This window comes from Homo sapiens, chromosome 7 (assembly GCF_000001405.40).
Source record: "Homo sapiens chromosome 7, GRCh38.p14 Primary Assembly".
Taxonomy (NCBI): Eukaryota; Metazoa; Chordata; class Mammalia; order Primates; family Hominidae; genus Homo; species Homo sapiens.
The window spans coordinates 96,099,219-96,110,322 of NC_000007.14; the positions used below are offsets into that span (position 1 = coordinate 96,099,219).

General features: G+C 38.0%; 1 protein-coding gene across 1 annotated transcript in view; it reads left to right on the top strand.

Moving 5' to 3' along the window:
- Positions 1 to 11,104, top strand: part of DYNC1I1 (dynein cytoplasmic 1 intermediate chain 1) — a 337,769-nt gene extending 326,665 nt beyond the window's left edge. The window contains exon 16 of the mRNA NM_001278422.2: positions 10,761 to 11,104. Coding sequence (NP_001265351.1) covers positions 10,761 to 10,853 — 93 coding nt within the window. The 3' untranslated portion in view covers positions 10,854 to 11,104. The remainder of the gene's footprint in view (positions 1 to 10,760) is intronic.

Here is an 11,104-nt window from a genome sequence, read left to right on the forward strand (position 1 = left end):
GGCCTGAGTCACTTACAGTAGGCACATAAAATGTTACAAGAACATGTGTTCTTATATATCCCACTGTGGTAGCTGGTCTCCAAGGCAGTTCCCAATTCTTGTGCAGGCCATCCCCTGTTGAATCCAGGCTGACGTTATGTGACTGACACAATACTGGGAAGTGATGCTACATGGTTTCCATTATGTCTTAGTTAATTCAGACTGCTACGTGGTTTCCAGGATGTCTTAGTTAATTCAGACTGCTATAACAGAATACTGTGGTATTCAGACTGAGTGGCTTAAGCAACAGAACTGTATTTCTCACAGTTCTGAAAGCTGGGAAATCCAAGGTCAAGATGCTGGCAGATCTGATATCTGGTGAGGGCCATCTGCTTAGGTTGCAGATGGCTATCTTCTCATTGAATCCTCACATGGTGAGGAGAGAGAGAGATGATCTCTTTCATGTCATTACTTATAAGGGCACTAATCACATTTATATGGGCTCCACCCTCATGACCCAGTTATCTCCCAAAGGCCCACCTCCAAAAATCATCACATTGAAGATTTAGGCTTCAACATATGAATTTGGGAATGAACATAAACATTCAGTCCACAGCCCAGGGCAAGGTTATAAGAAGACATATATCCTCCACCTAGGTTTCTTGGCACAATCAATCTTGGTCCCTGAGCTACTATGTAAGAAGCACAACTACCCTGAGACTTCCAGGCCACACAGAAGCTGACCATGGAGTGGTCATGTAGACATAAGAGAAATACACAGCCAGTCCACAGCCATTTAAGTCACCCCAGCTGATGTCCCAGATGAAATGTGGTAGCCAGAAAGATGTGCCTTTCAGATTTCCTATTGCAGAGAACATGGTTGAATGACAGTTATGATGCCTTGCTTTGAAACCCATTACCAAGTTTGACCAAGGTCATGCTTCCTGCATGCTCTTGCCAGCCAAGACTAAGTATGGCAAAGATCCTAAGGCTGGCCTGTATCTAGGAGACATAAGACTTCTTTGAAGTAACTTTGGCTCCAGGACTTTATGTCAGCATTGCTAAAACTTTCTCAGAACTGTACTTCAGTCCAAGACTAGCTGACTTTCTTCTCTTCCTCCCTTCCTCCCTCCCTCCCTCTCTCCCTTCCTTCCTTCCTTTCCTTCCTTCCTTCCTTCCTTCTTTCCTTCCTTCTTTCCTTCTTCTCCTCCCTTTCCCTCTCTCCTTCTTGAGGCCTGACAAACATCACTGTCTGATGGCTGTCCTGCCTAAGCTGGCTAGGGATGTCCTAGGCCTTATAAAAGAACAAAGAAACTACCTCAAAAGAATTGCAAAAATTAGCATGTACCATTAGGAGCCCGGGGAGTAGCACTGGGATTAGATTTTGAGGTGTTTAATCAAGGGAGCCAGAATGTTGATTAGATAAGGAATAATTCATTGACTTTGAGGGTTTTGTGTGTGTGTGTGTGTGTGTGTGTGTGTGTGGTAAGGAAGAGGGAAGCTATATGACTTTATACTCTGGCAAGGAGCCTAAAGAATAGGGTCACTCTTCGAAGTCTGAAAAAGCTGTAGCCTACATTCACTAGAGTGAAAATGTCTGAGTTGCCCTGGTAGTACAGGAAGGAATAAAGAGGTTGAAGGAAATGGGTATGTTAGAATAGATATATTATTTAAGTTCAGAAGACACACTCAAGGGTTATGTTACATAGGAACACCCAGAGTACACACCCTTCAAAGCCATTTGCAATGAGCTGGTGAGAGAGGCATTAGCATCTCTAGAATGTTTAGCAGTAGCTTTCCTTTGTAGGTCAGGGCTGATGGTAGGAGAGGCAGTCACAGAGTGGGGCTTGCTCACATCCATGGGGATGATGAGACCCCAGAGTAATAGTGGCTAGGTGGTGGCAGTTAACCACCAGAAGTCAGGAAGCCACAACTGCCATAATGACCAGCTAGATCAGAGAGCAGCCAAGAAGGCTTTACCCATAGGAAGTTGTGGGAGTAATTAAAAGAACGTGGCATTCCTAGTGGCAAAATAGACAGGCAGCCAAAAGGGTGTTGCTTAACTTCTATGACCAAAAACATAGAGCAAGAATGGAGACGCAGGAGACTGAAGACTGTTACCTCAATAAAAAGCCACATACCTCTGCTCACTGTCCAGTCCTGAGCCAGTTTTCCAATCCAGAAACCATTGACTGAAGATTGCTAGGAGGTTGCTAGGAGGGAGGACACCAGGAGGGAGGACACCACTGCAAACATCTATTGTGATGATCTCCCCAGTCCTTCCCCAAAAGGACCTATGGGCATTTATTCAGGTGAATATACAATGCAGAAAGAAACAAACCAACATTTGAAGACTATTGGGTACATTATCTGGGTTCACACTGAAATGTTATTGGAGTGGTGGCTTACGGCAACAAGGTAATGTAATGGAGTGTTTACTAAAGTCTAGGTCTCAATGGGCTCATTAGGTCTATGTACACACACAGTGGGTCATTCCGTCATTCCTCCAATCCTTGAGTGTTCAATTAGAATTGATATACTTACATCAGGTACCTGGCCTCTGGGATAAGAACTCTCACAGAAGGGAGGGCCAAATGGAGACCTCTGAAATTGCCACATTCTCATCTTCCCCTGCCAAGATAGCAAATACAAAATATTACATCTCAGGGTAGAGCTAGGAGGATGGCAGAGATTGGTGCCACTCTTAAAGGCCTAAAAGATATAGAGTGGTGTTCCCTATAATATATCTATTTAATAACCCAGTATGCCCCCTTTATAAATTAAATGGATCTTGGAGAATAACTGATGAGTACTGCAAGCTCAACCAAGTAAGATCACTGATCACAGCTGCCGTACTAGATGTGGTGTCATCCCTAGAACAGATTAATAAGGCTTCTGGTACATGGTATGTGGCCATTGATGGATGAATGCATTCTTTTTCATTCCACCTATAAAACAAGATCAGAAACAGTTTACACTCATGAGAAATAATTATTTTAATTTACAATTTTGCCTTGGGGCTATGCTAATCTCTCTCCCTCTGTAATACTCCAAAGATGCCTAGACAGCTTGAGCATCCACAGAATGTTACACTGATCCATTACATCAATGGTATCACACAGACTATGCAGAATAAGCAAGAATTAACTAATGTACCAGATGCCTTGGTAAGATATATGCACTCCAGAGGGTGGGAAATAAAATCAAGGAAGATTTAAGGACCTGCTACTTCAGTGGAGCTTTTTAGAATCTCCCCAATGTTTAAGAGCATGCTGGGCTCTTAAATACAAGCTGCTGAAGCTTAGAGCCCCCACCACAAAGAAGGAAGCACAGCACCTGGTAAGCCTCTTTGGTTTTTGAAGTTAACATATTCCATATCTAAGAATACTGCTCTGGTGCATCTACTAATTGGCATGCACAACTTTGGGTGAGGCTCAGAATGGGAAAAGACTTTGCAGCAGGTCAAACTGTAGTGCTAAGAGCTCTGCTGTATGGGCCATAAAATCAGCAGATGCTATGATATTAATGGTGTCAATGGTGGGAAAAGATGTGGTATAGAATTTTTGGCAAGTCCCAGTTGGAAAATTATAGTAGTGGCCCATGGGATTCTACAGGAAGGCCGTGCCATCTGAAGCAAAAACAGCACATGGCATATTAGCGGATCCTGGTAGAAATGAAGTTCTTTGCCATAGGATATAAACTTAACTACACATCCATACAACCAATTATAAGTTGAGCCCTGTCAGCCCTACCAACTCATAAAGTTGAATAGAACTAAAAGAAACCCCTTATAAGATAGAAACTGTGCATTGGGATGTACAGAACCAGAAGGCTCTGAACATAAGTAAGCTGCATGAGCAAGTAGCTCAAAAGCCCATTGTCACCCAACAGGATTTTACCAGCACACCTCCTCCATGCTTGCATACGTGGCCATGTGTAGGGAAGGTGAGTTCTGTGTGAGCCGCTGAAAGAAGAGGAAAACGTTAGAGTTTGGTTTACATATGGGTTAGTTCAGTTTGTGGGTACAGGTTGTCAATGGATTACAGCTAGCTACTTTATACCACATTCAGGATGAACCTTGAAAGACAGTCAAGAGGGAAAGGCTTTTTAATGGACAGAGCTGTTAGTTGAGCACCCAGTTATCTCCTTTGTGTGAAAGAAGAGATGGCCAGAAGTAAGTTTATATCCATATTAGCAATCTAACCCAAGCCATCATCATCTCTGTCATGATTCTGGCAGCAGCCTCCTAACTGGTCTCCCTGTGTCCACCTTTGACCCCTTCAGTCACTTCTCAATATAACCACCTGAGTGATATTGTTAGAACATTTAACTCCTCCATTCAAAGCATACCAATGGCTTTCACATCACTTGCAATAAAAGTCAAAATCCTTATAGTGGCCCACAGGCTCTATATGGATTTTTTTTTTTTTTTTGAGACGGAGTCTCGCTCTGTCGCCCAAGCTGGAGTGCGGTAACATGATCTCGGCTCACCGCAACCTCTGCCTCCCAGGTTCAAGCAATTCTCCTGCCTCAGCCTCCTGAGTAGCTGGGATTACAGGCATATACCACCATGCCTGGCTAATTATTTGTATTTTTAGTAGAGACGGGGTTTTACCGTGTTAGCAAGGATGGTCTGGATCTCCTGACCTCGTGATCCACCCGCCTCAGCCTCCCAAAGTGCTGGGATTACAGGCGTGAGCCACCGCACCAGGCCTCTATGTGGATTTTAATGACTCCACAACTTCTCTGATATTTGGTATTGTAGGTCTTCTTATTTTAGCTATTTTGGTGAGCATGAAATGGTATCTAGCTGTGGTTTTAGTTTGCATATACTCGCTGACTAATGATTTTGAGCATGTTTCGTGTGATTATTGGCCACATTTAATATATTATTTCTTCTTTCTGTAAAATATCCCTTCTAGTATCTTGGCCACATCTTGGCCACTTTAAAATTATTTCTATTTATTGTTAATCAGATAATATTTAAAAAATTTAATTTAGAAGAGTTTTCTTTATATATTCTGCTTTTAAAAATTATTAATTTAGAGGAGTTCTTTATGTATTCTGGATATAATTCCTTTGCCAGATATGTTTGTTACAAACATTTTTCCCAGCATATGCTTTAGAACTTCATTTCCTTAATATAATATTTTGATATGCAAAAATTTTAAATTTTGCTGAGGTCTTTTGTATCCATTTTTATGTTTTATACTTAGTATTGTATCATACTTTCTAGTAAATCTTTGCCACAGGTCACAAAGATATTGTCTTATGTTTTCTTTTGGACATTTTATTGTTTTAGCTTTTACCTTTAGGTCGATGATGGTTCTTAAATTAATTTTTGTGTATGGAATGAGGTAGTGGTAAACATTATTTTTTAAACATATGGATAACCAGCTGTTTTGGCAATATTTTCTGAAGAGATTATTTTCTTTTTGTTCATTAAATTAAATTAGCATTCTTGGTAGAAAAACAATTGTCCATATATGTATAGGCATATTTATGGGTCCTCTATTCTGTTTCACTATTTAATTTATCTATTCTTATATGATATCACACTGTCTTGGTTGCAATAGCTGTGTATTAATTCTTGAAATCAAGTGGCGTAAGTACTCCAACTTTGTTACTCATTTTGAAAGATTATTTTAACTATTCTAGGTCTTTTGTGTTTGCACATGAATTTTAGAATGATTGTGGAATTCTTTTAAAAAAACATACTGCTTGGATTTTGATTGGAATTTCACTGGATCTGTATATTTGGGGCAATGCCATCCAAGAATAGAATATAACTTGTATTTATTGGGTCTTCTTTAATAGAGTTCACCAATAGGTTGTGCAAACATTTTTTTTTCAATTTATTCCTAGATAACAACTAATTTTTTATGCTATTGTAAATACTATTGTTATTATTTTTCAATTTTTTAACAAAATTTTTTACTAGTTTGTAGAAATTTAGTTTTGTATATTGATGTTATATTTTGCAACCTTGCTAAATATACTCATTATTTATAGATTTTTTTAGATATAATTGCTTACTACATACACAATTATGCCATCTGAAAATAATGAAAAGTTTAATTCTTCTTTTCCAATCTTATCTTTTTTCCTCCTGTTTCTTTTCTTTTTTCTTTTTTTTTGCCTTACAGTATTAGCTAGGAAAGTCTTTATCATGAGTAGATGCTGAGTTTTATCATATGCTTCTTTTCTGCATCTGTTGACACGGTCACATAATTTTTATCCTTTATTCTGGTAATGTGAATTATGCTGGTTGACATTTTTTAATGGTAATCCAACTTTGAAATAAAATCATTTGGTCAACATGTATTAGTCTTTTAACATATCACTAGACTTTATTTGCTAGTAATTTCTTAAGGGTTTTCCCATAATCGTTCCTTGTGAATACTGATCTATAATTTTCTATTGTAATGTCTTTGTCAGGTTTTAGTAACATGATTATGCTCACATGAGGAGTTGGGAAGTGTTCTGACCTCCTCTATTTTGTGAAGGCATTTATATTGGTATTACTTCTTTCTTAAATGTTTGATAGAATTTACTACTGAAGCCATCTGGCCCTGGAGTTTTATTTGTAGAAACGTTTTTGGTAACAAGTGCATTTATTTAATAGAAATAGGAGATTCTGATTTTCTATTTCATTTTGGTTCCATTTTGGTAAGTTGTTTTCAACAAGTTGCATTTTTCAAGAAATGCATCCATTTCATTTGTCAGATGTATCCATATAAAGTTGTTCATACTATTCTCTTATTACCCTTTAATGTACATAGAATCATAATGACATCTCTTTTTAAGTTCCTGATGTTGCTAAATTATGTTTTCTTTAAAAATAAAAGGTCTTGCTAGGAGAGTTATTTTATTAATTTGTTCAAAGAACCAGCTTTTTAAATTGTCAATTTTCTTTATTGTTTATTCACTTTTTCTTCTTTCCACTTTGGGCTTAATTTGCTCTCTTTTTTTCCTTCCTGAAGTAGAAACTTAGATCATTGATTTAACACTTTTTTCTAATATAGGCCTTTGAAGTTTTAAAAATCCCTCTTAGGGTGGGCACGGTGGCTCACACCTGTAATCCCAGCACTTTGGGAGGCCGAGGCAGGTGGATTACTTGAGGTCAGGAGTTTTGAGAGCAACCTGACCAACATGGTGAAACCCTGTCTCTACTAAAAATGCAAAAAATTAGCCAGGTGTGGTGGCCGGCGCCTATAATCCCAGCTACTCGGGAGGCTTAGGCAGGAGAATCGCTTCAACTCCAGAGGCGGAGGTTAAAGTGAGCCAAGATCGCGCCATTGCACTCCAGCCTGGGCAACAAGAGCGAAACCCTGTCTCAAAAAAAAGAAAAAAAAGAGAGAGAGAAATCCCTCTTAGTACTGCTTTTACTATATTCCACAGATTTTGCAATAGACTTTATTATTATTCTGTTCAAAATATTTTCTAATTTCCATTGTGGTATATTATTTGACCTATGAGATTTTCAGAAGTGTTTTGTTTAACTTCCAAGTATTTGGAAAGTTTTCCAGAAAACTTTGTTTTCATTTCTAGTTTGATTCTGCTTAGTGAGAAAACATATATAATATGAAATAACCTGTATTTCAAATGCTTTTAAATTTATTAAGATTTCTTTTATGACTTAGCATATGGTCAACTTGCTAAATATTCCATGCGTACTTAAATAGAACATGAATTCTTCAGATCTTATGTGGTTCTATAAACTTTTTTTATTTTCTATGCATTCTGTCAATTATTGAGAAGGTGATGTTAAAATACAAACTACAGTTGTGAATTTGTCTATTTGATCTTTTAGTTCTCTCCATTTTTCATTCATACTTTTTTTTTTTTTGACAGCGTCTCACTTGGTAGCCCAGGCTGGAGTACAGTGGCATGATCTTGGCTCACTGAAACCTCTGCCTCCCAGGTTCAAGTCATGTTCATTCCTCAGCCTCCCGAGAAGCTGAGATTACAGGTGCCCACCACCATACCTGGCTAATATTTGTATTATTTTTAGTAGAGACAGGGTTTCATCATGTTGGCCAGGCTGGTCTCAAACTCCTGACCTCAAGTGATCTGCCCACCTCAGCCTCCCAAAGTGCTGGGATTACAGGTGTGAGCCACCGTGCCCAGCCAATTTTTCATTCATACGTTTTGAAGGTCTGTTACTAGAGACATACTTATTAGGTTATTATATCTTTCTGATAAGTTTATTATTATTATGAAATCACCCTCTGGTGTCCTTTCATTTCAGCCTGAAGGACTCGCTCTAGCATTTATTGTAGCACAGGTTAGGGAAAAGTTTGTTTATGCTTATCTGGGGATATCGTAATTTCTTCTTTTTTTTTTTTTTTTGAAATAGAGTCTTGCTCTATTGCCCAGGCTAGAGTGCAGTGGTACAATCTCAGCTCACTGTAATCTCCACCTCCTGGGTTCAAGGGATTCTCCTGCCTCAGCCTCCTGAGTAGCTAGGATTACAGGTGCGTGCCACCACACTCGGCTAATTTTTGTATTTTTAGTAGAGACAGGGTTTCACCATGTTAGGCTGGTCTCGAACTCCTGACCTCGTGATCCACCTGCCTCGGCCTCCCAAAGTGCTGGGATTACAGGCGTGAGCCACCACGCCCGGCCTTCTTCATTTTTGAGGAACGGTTTTATCAGTTTTCATTGACAGGTTTTTTTTTTTTTTTTTTTTTGGAGTACTTTGAATATCTCATCCCATTGCCTTCCGGCCTCAATGATTTCTGACTAAACCAACTATTAATCTTATTGAGGATCCCTTGTATGTGATGAGTTGCTTCTCTCTTGCTGCCTTTTCCCCAATCTTTATGCTTTTCTTTTACATATCTTATTGTATTGGCTAGGATGCCATCTTTCACATGATGTATGATATAAGCTATAGGCTTTATCAGGTAAAGTTTCCTTTCATTCCTAGTTTGTGAGACTTTACAAAAAAATGAATGTTGAATGTTGTCAAATATCTTTTCTGAGTTCAATTTAAATAATCATGATTTTCTTTTTAATTAGTGTAATATAACAATTGTTTTTGAGTGTATGTTTACTGTCCTGCAACGAACCCATTGGTCATAATGGATTGATTATCCCCTTTTTATAACGTTGAGCTCAAATTGCCAAATTTTAAAAAGGATATTTCTATCTCTTTCTGCAAAGGGATATTGTTTTAGAGTTTTGTTTTGTTTTCCTTGCAATGTCTTTATATGATTTTGATACTGTGGCAATGCTGTCCTCATAAAATGAATTAGGGAAGTAATCCCTTGCCTTCCATTTTCTCTAAGATTTTTGCAGAATTTTCATTATTTATTCTTAAAATATTTGGTAGAAATCAATAGTGAAGTCACCTAGGCTTGGATTTTTCTCTGGGGTATAGGCCAGGCGCGGTGGCTCACACCTGTAATTCCAGCACTTTAGGAGGCCGAGGCGGGTGGATCACGAGGTCAGGAGTTCAAGACCAGCCTGGCCAAGATGGTAAAACCCCGTCTCTACTAAAAATACAAAAATTAACCGGGTGTGGTGGTGGGTGCCTGCAATCCCAGCTACTCGGGAGGCTGAGGCAGAGAATTGCTTGAACCCAAGAAGCAGAGGTTGCAGTGAGCCAAGATCGCACCACTGCACTCCAGCCTTGGCGACAGAGTAAGACTCTGTCTCAAAAAAAAAAAAAAAAAGATTTTTAAGCTAAGAATTCAAGTAGTTAAATACAAGCATTCACATTGTTTCTTTCTTCTTCAGTGACTTTGGTAGGATATATCTTTCAAGGAATCTATTTCATCCATGTTGTTTCATTTATTGGCATAAATTTGTGCATAACATTCTATAACATCTTCTTATCATCACTTTACAATCTGTAGACTCTGTACTGCTGTCCCTGCTTTAATTCCTGATAATGATTATGTGGGTTTTTTCCCTCCTTTTCTGATTTTTATTTGCCAATTTTATTGATCTTTTCAAAGAATTGGATTTTTGATTTTATTGTTTCTTATTTTCCTGCTTTCTTTTTTTTTAATTTTATTATTATTATACTTTAAGTTTTAGGGTACGTATACACAATGTGCAGGTTTGTTACATATGTATACATGTGCCATGTTGGTGTGCTGCACCCATTAACTCGTCTTTTAGCATTAGGTATATCTCCTAATGCTATCCCTCCCCCCTCCCCACACCCCACAACAGTCTCGTTGACTTCTGCTTTTCATTATTTTTTATCTTTTGCATCTTTGGGGTTTAACTTGCTCTTCTTTTTCTAGTTTGTTAAGGTGAAAAATTAGACAATTGATTTGAGACCTTCCATCTTTCTAATGTAAGCAGTTAATGGTATACATTTCTCTCTAAACACTACTGTAACTTCATTGCATATATTTTTATATGTTGTGTTTTCATTTTCATTCAGTTCAGAATACTTCCAAATATTTCTTGTGGTTTCTTATTTTCCCTATAGGTTGTATAGAAGTATATGGTTTATTCTTCAAATATACGGAGAATTTCCAAAGATCTTTCAGTTATTTATTTCCAGTTTGATTCTGTTATAGTCAGAGAATATAATGTATATAATTCCAATCTTTTTAAGTTTATTGAGACTAGTTTTATGGCCCATATTATAGATTACCTTGGTGAAATTTTACTTGTACTTAAGAAGAATGTGTATTTTGCTGTTGTAGGGTGGAGTGTTCTAAAAATATGAATTAGGTCTATTATTTGATAAATGTGTTCAAATCTTCTATATATGTACTGATTTTCTGCCTACCTTTTTTTTCTTTTTGTGGACACAGGGTCTTGCTATGTTGCCAGGCTGGTCTCAAAATTCCTGGACTCAAGCAATCCTCCTATGTTGGCCTCCCAAAGTGCTGGGATTACAGACATGAGCCACTGTGCCCAGCTATGCCTGCTTGTTATATCAGCTACTGAGAGATGAGTACCAAAATCTGGAAGTATAATTGTGGATATCTTTTAGTTCTTTCAGTTCTATCAGCTTTTGTTTTCTGTATCCAAAGCTTTGTTATTAGGTGCCTACATATTGAGGATTTCATGTGTTTGCGATGAACTGACCCTTTTATCAATATGAAATGTTGCTGTTTATTCCTAGTAATAATCCTTTTTCTTAAATCTACTTTGA